Genomic DNA, 17,205 nt, shown 5'->3' with positions numbered 1-17,205 from the left:
GAAATACAGTTTACATAGTAAAATACTATGGTTTAATCTAATGTTTTAATTTTTAATATTCCTATAAGCTAATATGTTAATTAAAAATTTAGTTTTGGCAGTTACTTTGTTAAAGGAATTCATATTAGATTGCTAGACTAGGTTCAGAAGTAGCTTTAAAAAATCTCAATCATATAACAATAATTTATTTTGATTTTCACTAGTCTTCTTTCTAAATGTTTTCTATTCTCCCTTAGCTTACTCACCATCTTCTAATGTTAAAAGTAAAATTTATATACATCTATATATTTAACATACACACACACTATGGTCACACACATATTTTCCCAGTAAAAGCTGTCCTGTTCTACGCCCCTTTGCTTTCTCCAGGTTGCAAAAAGCAAGATCCCTTATTTTAATGTCTAGAGCTGAGACTAGGTACAGCACCATGGCTATTAAAATATAATGAGGGATATGCTGGGTGTGTAAAAGTTAACACGATTCCTGCAGGGAGACTGAGTGAGTGATAGAAAGGTTAGAGAGAACTAAACTGCTGCTCTAATATCTGGCAACCACACCAGAAAATGAATGGCTCTTCTGAATATTCTTGGCCCATGTTTGGGCATGGAGGTCCCTAAAAAAATATTTATTGTCTACCTACTACGGGCTAGGTATCTTTTTAGACGGGGGGGGATAAAGCAAATAAAACAGACAATATTCCCTACTTGTGGAGCTTATGTTCTAGTAAGAGAGACAGATACACAAAAAGCAGGTAAATTATGTAGTGTATTAGAAAGTGATAAGGGTTTTAGAAAAAACATTGAGTAAGATAAGGGGTACTAGGAAGGCCAAAGTGGAGAACGGTACAATTCACATGGAAGTGTTCAGGGTAGGCTTCATGGAGATGATAATGTTTAAGTAAAAACATGAAGGAGATGGAGGAATAAATGCTGCAGATGCTAGGAAGAGGCTGCTCAAAGGCTGTGAGGTGTGACTAGACCTGCCATGTCCTAAGGAAAGAAGACAGAGTTGGTGCAGGGTGAGCAAGGGAGACAGGATAGAAGATGAAGTCTTAGATGTACTAGAAGAGAGGGCCAGATCCTATAGTGCCTTGAGATTATGATAAGGACTTTGGGGATTATTCTGAGAGAATGAAACTTTTATCATGCATCATGTGGGAAACTCTAGGTTACGCTTTTTTGAATGTATTCTCTGCTTCCCCACTCTCTTGTCTCACAGGTTATAGCATCTGTTTGTTTGGCTAGTTTTTTGCTTTTTGGTTTTTAAGGGGAATTTTTTGTATTTTTTTTTATCCTCCTTGCATTGTCTCTGTTTCCTCCAGTATCCTTCTTTCTTCTATATTTTCATCTCTATCTTTGGTATTCTAGGCTTTTCTAAATGACTGGTAATCTTGGGATGTCTACTAATGACTGGAGCACCAAAATGTGGATTAGAATCTCTTTATGCATCAGTAGACTTCACTTTAAGTTAAATCTGGCAAAAACCTAACTTTCTGTTGATCTTTTTTCTCCTGTAGGTATAAACCTGACAGCCAGCATTTGAAGGGTAATGAGGTGTCCCATCATTAACTAGCTGTCACTTATTTTCCCTCTTTTCAGTATGGTTTTCAGCTATGCCCGATATCTCAAGTCTACAGAGTAAAGCTCCAGTCTCTCTTCAAGGTTGCAAAGGGAATCTGGGAATCTGATCCTTTTAAAGTCTTTAAATTATTCCTCTTATTCAGTCCCACCATACCCTAATGGAGGTAGGGAAATTTGCGGTGAAACAGGCTTGCTTCTTCTAAGTTCTGTCCTAAGGACTTAGATTTAGCATTTATCCTGGAAGCAAGGATCCTCAACAAAATACTAGCAAACTTAATCCAGCTACATATAAAAGGAAGTATTCAACATAACCAAGTGGGATTTATCCCAGGAATGCATGGTTGGTTTAGTACTCCAAGATAAATTAATGTAATACACTGTATCAACAGAAGAAAAAACAACCTCATGATCATCTCAATTGATGCAGAAGAAAACATTTGACAATATCTAACATCCCTTCATAATAAAAACATTCAAAAACTAGGAATAGAAGGAAACTTCCTCAACCTGATAAAGGGCATCTAAGAAACATACAAAGCAAAACTGAAAAGAACTAAAAGGGGAAGTAGACAATCCCCAATCATAACTTTTTTTTTTTTGAGATGGAGTTTCGCTCTTGTTGCCCAGGCTGGAGTGCAATGGCGTGATCTTGGCTCACTGCAACCTCCACCTCCTGGGTTCAAATGATTCTCCTGCCTCAGCCTCCCAAGTAGCTGGAATTACAAGCATGCACCACCACACCTGGCTAATTTTGTATTTTTAGTAGAGACAGGGTTTCTCCATGTTGGTCAGGCTGGTCTCGAACTCCTGACCTCAGGTATCTGCCTGCCTCAGCCTCCCAAAGTGCTGGGATTACAGGCGTGGGCCACCACGCCTGGCTGCCAATTGTAACTTTCAACGCGTCTTTCAACAGCTGATGAAACAAGCAGGTCACAAAAAAACTGATACAAAGATAGAATGGAACCATAAAATTAACTAACCTTATTTTATTGAAATATATAAAACAATATACCTAATAATGACAGAATGTATATTCTTTTCAAATGCCACATTGATCATATTCTGGGTCATTAGGATAACTGTAACAAATTTCAAAGGACTGAAATCAGACTGTTCTCTGACTGTAGTTAAGATAGAAATCAGTAACAAAAATATCACAAGATAATTCCCCCTGCCCCCCAATTAAACAAACCCCATGGGTCAGTTATGAAATACTGGAAATAAAACTCTAATTTGAACTAAATGATAATAAAGATAAAATATAGCAAATGCATGGGATACAGCTAAAACAATACTTAAAACCTTAAATTCATAGCTGAGCATGGTGGCTCAAGCCTGTAATCCCAGCACTGTGGGAGGCCAAGGTGGGTGGATCGCTTGAACCCAAGAGTTTGAGACCAGCCTGGGCAGCGTGGCAAAACCCTGTCTCTACTAAAAATACAAAAAATTAGCTTGGCATGGTGGTGCATGCCTGTAGTCCCAGCTACTCAGGAGGCTGAGGTGGGGGGATCACTGGGAGGCAGAGGTTGCAGTGAGCCAAAATAGCACCACTGTACTCCAGCATGGGTGACAGTGAGACCCTGTCTCAAAAAAACAAACAAAAAGCCAAAACCCTTAAATTCATATATCAGAAAAGAAGAAAAGTTTAAAAATAACCTAAGCTTCCTCCTCAAGAAGTTAGAAAAATAGAAAAACAAACCTAAACAAAATAAAAGGAAATACAGATGAAAACAGATATAAGTAAAACAGAAAAAAAAAGCAGTAGGGAAAAATCAACACAGCTAAAAGTGCAATATTTGAGATTAATGAAACTGATAAATCCCTATTCAAAACTAACTTTAAAAGAAAGAGAAAAAAAAAAAAAAAACACACCAGGCTGGGGATGGTGGCTCACGCCTGTAGTCCCAGCGTGTTGAAAGGAGATCTAAATAAATATAAGATATAGCATGTTCTATATAGCAAGACTCAATCATAGAGAAGAATCCCCAAATTAATTTACAGAGTCAATTCAATTTCAATCAGAATCTAAATAAGATCCTTCTTGGAACTTGTCAATATAATACTAAACTTTATATGAGGAAGGTAAGGGTCATGAACAGTCAAAACATTTCTAAAAAAGGACAGGATGCTGGACTTGTCCTACTGAATTTCTGGACTTTTAAACAAGACAACTGTAATGAAGACAACATATCATTTTTATAATAATTGACAAAGAAACCAGTGAGAAAGAATGTTCCCCAATAACAGGCACGTACATACACTGGAACTTCATGTATGACAGAGGCAGCATTGCCAATCAGTGCAAAAAGGATGAACGGTTCAAAAAACATACTGAAATAACAGATTGTCCATATAGGAAAAGAAATATAATTGGAATGCTAGCTCACATCATACATAAAAACCAATTCTAGTAAAATTAATAATTTTATTGTATAAAGTCAATTTAAAAAAATTTCAGAAGTATAGGAAATAATGTCTTTTATAAATGATCAATAAATCTGACTATTAAAAAATTAAGAATCAGTGTTCGAAGATGCCAAAAATATGAAAAGACATGTCATAAATTGGAAACAGATATTCATAAAACATAAAATTGACTAAGTATTGGTATATTCCAGATATATAATGAACTTCCAAAAAGTAACGGTTAAGACAGCCTAAATGAAAAATAGGCAGAAAACCTAAATAGACTTTAATAGAAGAACACAACTCATCAATAAGCATACCAAAGGATGCTCAAACTTGACAGTAATTAGAGAAATGCAAATCAGAAACATAATGGTAATTTTATATCCACTAAATTAGAAAGTTTAACAATACCAAGTGTTGGCAAACATAAGAACTAAAAGAGTACTCCCATACACTGCCTATAGGGGTATAAATTGTTAGCATTTTGGAAAACAATTTAGCATTAGCTGGCAAAACTGAAAGTGTATACACTGTACAATCTGTTGATTCTACTCCCAGTTTGTATCTCACAGACAAACTTTTGTACATGTGCATCATAAGATGCTTGTAATTCTGTTTATAATAACAAAATACTGGAAATATCACCTATTTTCCCAGAAAGAAGAATGGATAAACTATGGCATAATCATACAAAGGAATACTATTCAGTAAGGACAATAAAATAACTACTTTTGCAAATATCAATAAGAATGAAATTTATAAACAAAATGAGTGAAAAAAGCAAATCATATAAGAATACATACAGGAGATTCCATATATACAGGATAGGAGAAATATGCAAAATTAAACAATATGTTGTTTAGGGATAAATAAATATGTGGTAAAACAATAAGAAAAACAAAGTATGAAAATATAAAATTCTGGGCAAGTGTTAAACTTGGAGGAGCACATGAGAGGGACATGATTAGGGAGGGGCATATATGGAACTTTTAAGATACTGGTAATTTTCTATTTCTTAAGCTAGGTAGTAATTACATGGGTGTTAGTTTAATTATTATTATTTTAAAAATTTTTCCTTCTTTTTTCCCCCATCAACTTTGTGACAGTATAACTGTTTCTTAAACAAGACTGATAGTCATAGTCTTTTGTGTCAATTTGGCTAGGATATAGCACCCAGTTATTTAATCAAACAGTGACCCAGGCATTGCTGTGAAGGTATTCTGTAGATGTGATGAACATCACAATAAATTAATTCTAAGTAAAGGAGATTATTGCCCTAAAAAATATGGGTAGGTCTCACCCAAGCAGTTGAAGGCTTTATGAGCAAAAAGTGAGGTTTCCTGAAGAAGGAATCTGCCTCAAATACTGCTTGAGTTATCAGCCTGCCCTCCGTATTTTGGACTGAAGCCTGAAACATCAATTCCTGCCTGAGTGTTCTGCCTTATGGTCTCTCCTACATATTTTGGACTTGCCAGCCCCCTCAACTGCATAAGCCAATTCCTTAAAATAAATCTCTTAATATATCATTTTGGTTTTGCTTCTCTGGAGAACCCTGACTAATACAAACAGATATGTAATATAGCCTTTGAGTGTATATTCTACACTTTGCATTATGAAATGGCATTCTTTTGACAGAGGGAAGAGAATAGGCAAAGGCATGGAAGAAAAGACGATGTTATATGGTGGAGATGAATTAGTTTGGCATGGCTGGGGCAGAGTGTGTGATGGAGGAGAAAGGGCGCAGGATGAAACTATCAAGATGAACAGGTGTCAGATGATAAAAGGCCTTGTATGTAAGAAACTTGTAAAGGGTTTTTAATAGGAGAATAACACGAAGAGATTTATACTTTAGGAAAAGTACTTTGGCTGTAGTGAGAAACAACAGTAGAGAGCTAAGATTGGAGAAAAATTAGGATATTCTACAATGGTTTCAATGAGATAACAATAATCTCATTGAATGAGATTCAACTAACAGGGTGGCACAGGTATAAAGAAACGGAAGAGATTAGAAAGACATTATGAAATTAAAGAACTAATTGGACATACTCTATGTTAACTATCAGATATATGACTTGGGGAGAAAGCAGTATGGCATTAGCCAAAGTGGGAGACAGACAGTAATTCTGGTTGAGGGGATTGGCCATGCTGAATTTTAAATGATGCCTGTAGGACATGCAGGTGGAATAGACAGATGGCAGTGAGCCATGAAGTTCTATGGCTCCAGCATGGGGTTAGAGCAGAAGATGAAACTTGTGTGATATTAACATATAGTAAAGGCAAGTTAGATGATGAGTATGGATGAACTTGTTCATGGAGAGTAATTCTAATGAATGAAAAGGTGAGGTAAGAAAGGAGGGGAGATTGGGAAGAACTGACTAGAGAAGTAAGAAAAAAACAGGAATAGAAGTGGAGTCCCAGGAGCCACAGGAGTTTTGAATCAGAAAATGCTGCAGAGAGACGTGAAGCTATAAGAACTAAAAAAAAGTCCTATCAGGGTGGCAGCTTGGTCATGAGTGATCTTAAAGATGGCAGTTTCAATGGATTAGTGTGATGCAGGGAATATGATGTACCAATAGACACTGTAAAAGTTGAGAGAGTAAATGTGGATGATCAGGAAGAATAAGAGACTTGGAGAGGGATGAAAGGAAGGTTTTGCTATTTAGGAGTGGAGAGTCAAACATCGTAAAAGGAAAAGCTGATGGAAAAATAGGTTGAAGATACAGAATAGAAAATAAATGATAAACAGGGATTTGGAGGAAACGAGGGGAAACAGGAGACAAATAGAATGAAATAAAATAGTTATGAAGAAATGAAGATGGAAAATAGAAACTGCACTTAAGAAAGTTGATGGTCAGAGAGAACTAATATTTTATAGTTAAAAATTTTCACATACATTATCTTATTAAAGTCTCATTATATTAAGTGAAGGAGAGTGTATTATCCCTACTGTAGACAATTAAAGAGAGGCTTAAAGATGTGAAAGGAGTTGCTGAAGATATCGCATCTAGTAAATAAATCGATAAAATGACATTGAGCTAGATTTAAAAAAATTACAGCATATCATAAGCCTCACATAGAGAAGACTGCAAGTCTATATATGAGGTATTAAAACATGAATATGGCACTGGTAATCACAGTGGCTCACCTCATGCTCTGGAGAGAGATGTTCCATGTCAGTCCGTAAACATCTGAGACCAGGTAAAAAGTGATTAACCATTAAATCCTCTGAAATGACTTGGGACAAGGTAGTTAAGGGAATTAAACAAAACCAAATTGGTATGTCCAACAGAACAACCGAGTTACTACATATAAAAGAGAAGCCTTCTTATATCATACCTATGGCATAGTGATCACTCAGGGTAAACAGGCTCCCCTCAAGCATGAATCCTCATTTGCAGAGTAAGTTATTTATCAGGAGTCAATTGTGTTTATTCACACAAAGCTATTTATGTCAGTGGTATTCATCATTTAAATTACAGAATGTCATGGAAATGTATAAAGTGAGCGTAACAATTAAGTCATGTAACCCAATCAGATGTTTCAATGAATATGAAAAAAGTATAAAAAGTAAGTTTTCCATGACAACTAAGTTGAAAGTTTTGGGAAAAACTGATAAATGCAAATTGCTTAAAACATTGCTGTTTAACTATTACGTATAAGACAATTGTAAACGATTGAGAAAAATATAAAAATCTAGAAAAACTCTATAGTGCATATCAGAAATATTTCTGGATCCTCTTTAAAGAACTTTAACCTGCAAATCATAGACAACTGCATTACAGATGTGATTTACCTGAGAAAGAAGATGTTTAACTATAATCAACAGATTCACACAAAAGAGATGCCTATATCAAAAGACCGGTAAAAGAAAATAACATATATACATTTTAAGTTAAAATAAGTTATCTAAGGTAGATACCATTTTCCTGATTTCTTGCTTTAACCATCCTGTTAAACTGACCTACTATAGGTCCTGATTGAGTTGGATAACAGAGCTTTTACTGTAATAAGAGCATTTGTTAAGTTTAGGATTACTTGTAGTTCTCAGTCATCTTTGAGTTTTAGTTGATTATCTTGACATTAAAAGGTATCAGGAAAACTTTCTCCAGAAAACAATTCATCTTGTTCATTCCCGTCAATTCTGATACATTCTCCCTTTATTCTAGCCTGTAAAGCTAGCTCCTATTTAATATCACACCACAAAAAAGCCAGTAAGTGAGTTCCCTTATAAAGATATTTTTTTTTAACAGAATTTTTTGCTCTTCTCACGCAGGCTGGAGTGCAGTGGCACAATCTTGGCTCACTGCAACCTCCGCCTCCTGGGTTCAAGTGATTCTCCTGCCTCAGCCTCCCAAGTAGCTGGGATTACAGGTGCACGGCACCACATCCAGCTAATTTTTTATATTTTTAGTAGAGATGGGGTTTCACCATGTTCGGCTGGTCTCGAACCCCTGACCTCAGGTGATCTGCCCGCCTTGGCCTCCCAAAGTGCTGGGATTACAGGCGTGAGCCACCGTGCCCGGCCATAAAGATGATTAAATTAGATGACTTAAATGAGTTCCCTTATAAAGATGACTTAGTTGAAAAAATGAATTTCACTAAGAAAAAAATCAGTGTAACTACTGCTTTGAAAATACAGTTATAAATAAAAATTGTTCACAGACATGGATCCTATAATGAGTGATTTATAAATTTAACAGGTATTAAAAATATAAACATCATTTGGTCAAACCAAATCCCTATAGACATATAGAGGGCTACAACCTAATGATTATGTAGTCTTGCTTTCTAGATATGGGGATAAGTGGCACCAAAATATAACTGTGAATGACCTTTGAATTAGTAGTTTAAGAGTCTGATCTAGAGAAATATGGGCATGGAATGAGAAGCTGAATATGGCCCTACTTAGAAGAGGGAAGTCACTTTTCTTTTCCTCTTTCTACTCTCTGTTGGGGGCCTACCTTTTCCCTATGGATCAATCTTTCTCAAGGATTCGAAAGTTAAAGGTAATTAGTTCCATCAGATATTAGGAAACACCTTTACCTCACTGGTGAATGATGGTTAGCCTCTGACTGCTAACAATGAAAGAAGATTCTTAGTTTATTAAGGGAGATCACTGCATTTTAGATAGCTCAATTAGGAAGTTTTTCTTATAAAAGAAATCAGCCTCTGTTATCTCTGCTTGTTAGTATTAGCTCTGTACCTTAGCTGCACAGTGTGCCTCATCATCCTTCTACCTAAAAACCTTTAAAATATCTTTTCATCCCCAAGCCATCTCTTCTCCAGGTTAAACATTCCTAAATTCCTTCAAACTTTCCTTAAACATGACTTCTCGACTTATTATTATGCCAAAATGTTATACACTATAGTTTTTCTAATGTCTGTATTAAAACATGATGGTAGGCTAAAAGGAGCACTCTTCTGATCAGCTTAGAATACAATGGAACAGAACAGATTAGAACAATGTGATTTTATTAGGGGCCACAGCACTGTTGACTCAAGTACAAGTTCTGACTCATGTAGAACTAACACTTTTAGTACTTGAACAGGGACTGTTGTTAAGATGGTTCTTCCCCTTACCATATTGGTATGTCGCCTTTTTACTGTATTTACTCTAGTGATATTCTATGCATGTCTAAACACACAATAATATTCCTTTTATATAGATTTCTATGCCCTTTGGAAACCACTGCCTTCCCTACTTGGAAAATTTGGTTTTACAGAGCCAAACATTTGGATCTTTTAACTTTCCCATTTTCCTTGAGGCATATTCCTTTAGAAACTCTCTGCTATATAAGATTATACATAACGTTTTGTGTAAGTTTTAAATATTATTTTCACAAAGTCCAATTAAACACACCAATGTTTTCTTTCTTTGAGATACAAACTCTGCGATGCACCACTGTTGCTTTCTTGCAAGGGTCCTATCACTTCTCCAATACTAAAGAATTCTTACTTGCTAATTCAGAATATCAGTTCCTCTTTTTGCTTCCTCTATCTTCCCTAAATTGAAAATGCCAACAAGAAATCAAGAATGATAAGTTCTGCTTTTAGTGGAACTAAACTTATAGAAGACATGAATAGTTGAGGTTACAAAATTATTAAATTATTAAAATATGGTGCCATCTATATTTTAAAAAACATGGCTCATATCCTCCTCACGATTAGGCCATTTGTAATAGATTTCCAACATAAACTGCTCTGAACCATGCATCCAACTTTCAGTTTTAGTATTTCCAAAGACACATAGCTACTTCACAGATAGCTCTACTTTTCTACTTTCTCTATTTGGTTTATTCTGAACAAAAATAACTTCTTATTGGTACATTCTAGTCCAGAATCCAGTGTCAATGACTGTTAGTAATATTTTATGGCATATTTATCTCATTTAAAATTACCTGTTCATGTTGCTTATTACATCAAACTCATCAGACTGGTATATAACAATGTGAACCACATATAATAATCCTGAAACTCTTCCTTTGTTCTCTGTTTTTTGTTTAGCATGTACTTTAGCATTTAGCCTTTCACTCTTTTTTCAATCTCTCATTTCCCCTTTCTTCAACCCTTCTGCCTTTTAAATAAAAGAGCCTAAAAGTTGGGAGTTCACTTTGCCCATCGTTATCTTTACTTCCTTCTTAGTTTTATTTTATAGGCATAGGATAGTAAACAGAACATTTAACAGAATGGCTAAAGTTCTTTGTTCCAGTCACAGTTTTGCTTTTAACTATAAAAAACAGAAGGCATTCATGTCTTTAAGCCTTAGTTTAATCATTTACAGTCACTGACATGGACCTACATGATCTCTAAGTTTTCTCCCAGTTCTACAATCACTGGAGATCATTAGCTTTGTTGGCCCTGTACTTGTCCAATGTGTGATATCTCTCTAAGAGATACTCATAATATTCCACTGGATACTGAGAGTTAAACATTCACTGAAAAACCTAAATGCCAAGTCATATATACAAGGCTTCCTTTTGATTAACAGAAGTCTCAGCTGTAATTCTTTCTGCCCTTTATTTCTTGCTCAGTTATGTAGCTAACTAATATAAATAAAAACTTCAGGTTAAGAACTTCATCAAAATTCTCAAAACTATAGAACATAAAAGCACAGAGGACTTAAACTTATCTTTTAAAATTATGAGATGGCTAGAAGAAGGAGTGGAGTGAGACAAATCAAATCTTCAATTTTCTACAACGCTTAATGTAAGTTGAAGAAAAGAAGTTCTACTTTTCAATCTTTACCAACCAAGTTCCACTCTAAGATTGGTTACATAAATGTAGATACACCTTAATAAAACAAGGATACAACAACAGGAAAGTGCACTGTAGGCTTCAAAAAGATGCGTAGCAATGTCCAGTCTTTTAGAATCCACAATCTGTAAGTTGTTCACCAAGGCTAACTTATGCAAATGTGGTATAACAACTGAAAACAGAAAAAAAAGGGTTAAATTTTTACCCAAAACATGCATACAAAACCCTGACACACTTTAACAATAATTTATCACTTTAATTTATGAAATTTCATTTTAATTCTGAATGACTTCAAAAGATTACCCATATCTTATACTTGCTTTTTCTTAACTAGGGAAGAAAGTAGTTTTTCAAAATAAAAAGTGATCTGGCATTTGGGGGAAACAAATTTTAGTACTGTCACTATTACCTAATTATGAGGATGTATATAGATTATTTGGCCTCACTGTAATTCAGTTTCCCAGTTTGAAAAATGAAGCCCAAATAATTATAAACAACATACCTCTTGTATTATTTATACTTGCAGTTAAGTTTCTCCATAAAAATAAAATATTACCATTGCTATGAAATCAAAAGAGTATATTCTTTTTCAACAACCTATTATTTCACTCCTTCAGAATACTATTATCAGCTTTAGTTTCTCAAATTCTTAGCAAAGACCAATGTCAAACAGCACTGGCGGCTGAGTTTTCAAGTTATTCAATGAGTTTAATACCCTCAAAGAGTAACATAAAATTTCAACCTACTGCTAAATAAAAGCAATGGTCCAAGAAACAAAAACCAATTCAGTAGCAATGAGCACCTCTAGAGCCTAAGATTGTGTTTTCTGGGTACCATTTCCCACTAAAACCAGGGCTCTTTGAAGAAATGGCTTCAGGGTCAGTGATTGTTAAATTGTTAATCACAAGACCAATCACACAACCCCTTTCTAGTCTCTGCTTGGTTGAGGATCACAAAACGCCACCCATAAGCATCAACTGCTGACCAACTGTAGTGACCCCTTTCTTGTTTGCACTGAGTTTGTGTATATAAAGTCATAATCTTCTACTGGAAAAACTCCTGCATCCTAAATAAGCTGGGGCAATAATCACAACTTTCATGCTTAGCTTAGTAAAACCCCACAAAAACTCAGAATAACAATGATCATTTTTAGGGGACCTTTTGACTTGTCAAAATTAATAACAGTATATTTATGAGGAGCTCTAGAACAAATTAGGAAACAAAAACTCCAAACATTCAGTTGAAAGCTTCATTAATTGGCACGCTGAGGCCTCAACAAAATAGTGACTCTAAGTCTCTCTCAAAGACTCACTAGTTCATTTCTGCCCAAACATTCAGAAACTTATCATTCTTTCACTTTATCTATTCATATATGGTTCCTTTATTTCATCTTCTCCTGAGTCTCTGACCTTTTTACAAGGTTTTTCTCAGAAATGCAACAATCACACTGCATAATATCCCCTTAAAATTGCTTGACTAGAAGAAATCTATAGAAGTTCATTTAAACTGTAGTCTCAAGGAAGTTAAAGCCTCTAATTAAGGATCTTCCTAATTCTCAGGAAGACAGACAGAACTTTACTATAGAATTCAGATTTCACTACACACATATTGTCCTGGGGTACCACATATGTATTAATTAATTCACTTAACAGTTAACCCCTCAGATGTAGACAGATGGTTAAAAGCAGTAGGAGATGAAGGACCAGGAGATGATTTAATAATAACCCAGATGGATATCATTCTTTCTTTTTTATTAAGAGATGGGGTCTTGCTCTGTTGCTTGGGCTGGAATGCAATGACTATTCACAGGTGCAATCATAGTGCACCACAGCCTCAAACACTTGGACTCAAGTGATCTTCCTGCCTTGGCCTCCCGAGTTGATGGACTACAGATACGTGCCACCATGCCTAGCTAATTTTTAAACATCTTTTGTAGGGACTTATCTTGCTGTGTTGCTCAGGCTGGTGTTGAACTCCTGGCCTCAAGTGATCCTCCCACCTCAGCTTCTGAGTAGGTGGGACTATAGACACGTGGCACCATGCCTGACTTAGACAGGCTAATTCTAAAACTGACCTTCAGTGGGAAAGAAAAAGAGGAAATACATAACATAAAGTCACTGCAGAAGCCTTTTTCTTTAGGGCAGATTGAACAAGGATTTAAAATTGTAAATGAAAAAAGGATAATAGGAGATTTTATAAAACCGTATTTCGCAGAAAATTAGCCGGATGTGGTGGTGCATGCCTGTAATCCCAGCTACTCGGGAGGCTGAGGCAGGAGAATCACTTGAACCAGGGAGGCGCAGGTTGCAGTGAGCTGAGATGGCATCACTGTACTCCAGCCTGGGTGACAGAGCAAGACTCTGCCTCAGAAACAACAAACAAACAAACAAACAAACAAACAAAAAACTGTATATCAGAAAACGTTCAAAAATATTCTGGGGTAGATCCAATAGTCATAAAGGGAATCTTGTCCTATTTTTGTTTGTTTGTTTGAATAAATGGGCCCAGACCTCAAACAAGAAACTTAGGGGAAAAAATCAGAAATGGAAAATTGCCACTTCAGAAAATCTCCAATGTACGACTGAACATTTTCAGAGAGTCTTACTAAGTAAAATAGCTGAAAACAAAAAACAACTCTACGGTGTTCCAGATAAAACAACTGGTTCCTAAAAATAAAAACAAGACCAAAGGTCCTGTGATAACTAACAATTGGGAAAGAACAAGGGCCACTGAAAGAACTAATGTCCTCTATTAGCCAAGAAATAGAGGGGCAAATACCTAAATACCCAAAATGCCACTCCAAGGGAGACGTTACCACCCAGAAATTCTCTGTCCATCCTCCAAACTCCCAAAGCCAATTGTCTATAAATACTTAGGAATAACACTATCGCATTCTTCATACAGGTTCTACTTCAATATTTATCTTATTAATATAGAGTACTAAATTCCTCAGGGTAAGTTCTAAAGCAAAAGAGAAGCCACTTGACTGGGAAGTAAGTACAAAGGTGGAAAAAAAGGCTAATTTTTATCTTAAAAAAATCTGGTTGTACCAAAATGTGAAAGAAGACTGTATAAGACATACTTGTGGGTACACAGTAAGTTGCAGGAGGCTTTAAGGATAATGGTTTACTAGAACTATTCAAGCAGTGGGAATTTCTCACCTCAATCTGTTCCCAAAACAACCTTTAATTGTTATTTGGGGGCCATTATGAGAAGAAAATTCATTTTTTCCTCTTGAACAACTCCTACAAATTTGATAGGTAGGTATCTATTCTACAATAAAACTGTCAAATAAAATGGAAGGGTTATTTTTAGATATTCTTGAAAATTCTAGAAAGAGAAATTAAGATATTGACACTATGTTTAATTTGAAAAATAACTATAGTCCCAGAATTACTGAAAAAAGATTCCGAAGAATCAACAAAATAATTGGAGCAGATCCTATAAGAATCCAGATGGATTCTTCCCAGATTATCATGAGTCTTTCTTTTGAATATACATAGAAAGGTCAAATCATGCTCTAGAAAAGTTTTAACTATATGACACGGCACACAGCAAGGACCCATTTAATGCAACAACACTGCACACACCAAAGACCCGTTTAACATGACAACATATCAAATACCCATTTAACTTGACAACATGGCACACACCAAAGACCCATTGCCTGTTGAGCCTATCCTTTAATCCAGCAGCCAAGAGTTGGTCTCCTTGCCTCAGAGCAACTACAGCCTCGAAAAGTCAAAGCACCTTCAGAGTTCCTACCTAGAATCACCTGTAAATTTGACACTGCAACATGTGGAACTATCCCTAGTGCTAACTAAAATATCAACTTTCTTCTGTTAGTTGGCTAATTATAAAGACACTTACCTAGTGAAAAAAAATGTCATGACTGTGTTTCTATAGTTTGATCAGTGTGCATGCCTTCAATCGATTTTTTGGACACTGCAGTCCAAATCCTGACTTAGTATTTTTTGTTGATGACTCTTATCTTAAAGAGTCATATGCCAGCCTGGATATGTAACAGTCTGCCGGAGAATAAAATAATGTACTAGAAACTAAACTGATTTAAGTGACCCAACTTGTGGCCCTCTCTAGAGCATGTCAAATTGCTAAAAATAAAAGAGCTATGATAACTGATATGCTTTTGGAGTCATAAGTTCTTAATGCTTTGATGCTATCCAAAGAAATTGTGGCCATAAATGTTGAGGCCCACAGTAAAAGAGACTCTGTAAAATCTAGAGAAAAAAGGCAGACAATTGTGGAAGATCATGTAGCAGATCAACAAGCTATGAATTAAAACAAAGTTATGTATCGTGCTGAATGGCATGCTAAGTGGAAGAAATGTCTGTTTTTCATAAGAACATGTCTAGAAACACACAAAAATTTCCTTAAAAATAAAAAATAAACTCTAAGGCAGCACAGTATTTAGCAATTAGCAGTTATTAAGAAATATTTCTAAAATAACTTGAAATTAAGTTTGAGTTACTCTTCATATGTCTTACAGCAATCAGTATACAGTATAAGACCATCTGTATACTTATACAGTATAAGACCATCCACTAGGGCGGGTGCGGTGGTTCACGCCTGTAATCCCAACACTTTGGGAGGCTGAGGCAGGCAGATCACCTGAGATCAGGAGCTGGAGACCAGCCTGGCCAACATGGCAAAACCCCGTCTCTACGAAAAATACAAAAATTAGCCGGGCATGGTGGTGGGCACCTGTAATCCCAACTACTTGGGAGGCTGAGGCAGGAGAATCACTTGTACCCAGGAGGCAGAGGTTGCAGTGAGCTGAGATCATGCCATTGCACTCCAGCTTGGGTGACAGAGCGAGACTCTGTCTCAAAACAAAATAATACAAAACCATCCACTAATATCAATACTGATTAATTCACAATAACTAACTTGTTTCATGTTTAGCTTTCAGTACACAAGAGTACACAAGGCTTTCAGTACACAAGGCTTTAACACATGACAAATGCACCAAAATTTTAATACATGACAAGGCCTCAGAGGAGTGTCTAGCTTTGATCTTACATTACAATTCAGGAAAAAGGTAGAAAAATGCAACTTACACTCATCTCGGAACCTGGGTTCTGCGTTAGGGCCAACTCTACCAAATGTTTTTATGATCTCTGTATGCAAAGAATGTTGGTCTTGATACTGAGGATCTTCCAGGAAAGAAGCCAACTGCATTTTCACTCTTTCCAGCAACTTAAAATTGGATATTGTACAGTCATTTCATAGAATATTGAAAACTGAGTAGTGTTGTTAAAGTGAAAGACACACATTAAACATGACTTAAAGCAGTGGATTAAAGCAACCTATAGTCCAATGACAGTAGAAATTTGGAATTAAATAAATAGTTATTTAATCTTTTGGCTCAGAGAAGGTTTCCTACTTTTGCTTATGCTTACAAATTCTTAATTAAAAAATACAAATATTCCTGAACAAATTATAACAACAAAAGAAAAAAAATCCCACCGTATTTAGGGAAAAGTAGGTAACTTTATGATTATTTTGTATCTAAATTATAATTCTTAAAACAAATCACACTGTAAGTTACCCAATTATTCACCTTCTGAAAGCAATGAGTCATTAATGACTTACATCTTACTCACATTTCCCTAAAAGACATTTTTATTTTAGGTTTTGAGAACATGTTGAAATTCTGCCAAGACTGCAAGCTTTGCAGAATGATGTGCTTTTCCTCTGTGGCTTCACCAGTGAAATATATAAGTGAAAAAATGGAAAATATTCTTTCTGTAACTAACAAAACTTTAGTTTTTGTCATGAAAAATCTATATGACAAAGGAGTTTTATTAAAACTTTTTTCTTTTGGGTAATATGTCCACAAATAATATATGTGCTAATCTACAGGGTTTTTTCATTTGTATAAGGACATATCCAATATAATAACAAAGAAATAAAAATCTGATATCAATTTTGAGAAGTGTCT

The 17,205-nt window shown here is 35.6% G+C and overlaps 1 protein-coding gene across 26 annotated transcripts in view, besides 1 other annotated feature; it reads right to left on the bottom strand.

The window, feature by feature from the left end:
• RELCH (RAB11 binding and LisH domain, coiled-coil and HEAT repeat containing) overlaps positions 1–17,205 on the bottom strand; it is a 122,995-nt gene that overhangs the window by 11,484 nt on the left and 94,306 nt on the right. For 19 of the 26 annotated variants that reach the window (NR_144408.2, NR_144403.2, NR_144407.2 and 16 more), the window contains 3 exons: positions 16,322–16,460; positions 11,299–11,415; positions 7,135–7,223 (listed from right to left, as the gene is read on the bottom strand). Coding sequence is in view for 16 of the 26 variants with exons in the window: in NM_001346235.2 (NP_001333164.1) it covers positions 7,135–7,223; positions 11,299–11,415; positions 16,322–16,460 (345 nt within the window). In the remaining 10 variants the exon portion in view is untranslated. Of the gene's footprint in view, positions 1–7,134; positions 7,224–11,298; positions 13,318–14,404; positions 14,528–16,321; positions 16,461–17,205 lie in introns of those variants that run through there. The other 7 variants (NR_144409.2, NR_144406.2, NR_144404.2 and 4 more) reach the window with 4 other exon arrangements.
• Positions 8,290–8,468: a silencer, noted in NCBI's record as "fragment chr18:59957531-59957709 (GRCh37/hg19 assembly coordinates)". NCBI's record gives its function as "represses an EF-1alpha promoter that drives an FKBP-Casp9 reporter gene in an ReSE screen in phorbol 12-myristate 13-acetate-treated (for megakaryocytic differentiation) K562 erythroleukemia cells {active_cell/tissue: K562(+PMA)}" and the evidence as "EXISTENCE:reporter gene assay evidence [ECO:0000049][PMID:32094911]".

Source organism: Homo sapiens, chromosome 18 (assembly GCF_000001405.40).
Source record: "Homo sapiens chromosome 18, GRCh38.p14 Primary Assembly".
NCBI classification, from domain to species: domain Eukaryota; kingdom Metazoa; phylum Chordata; class Mammalia; order Primates; family Hominidae; genus Homo; species Homo sapiens.
This window is presented reverse-complemented; position numbering and strand designations above follow the sequence as displayed.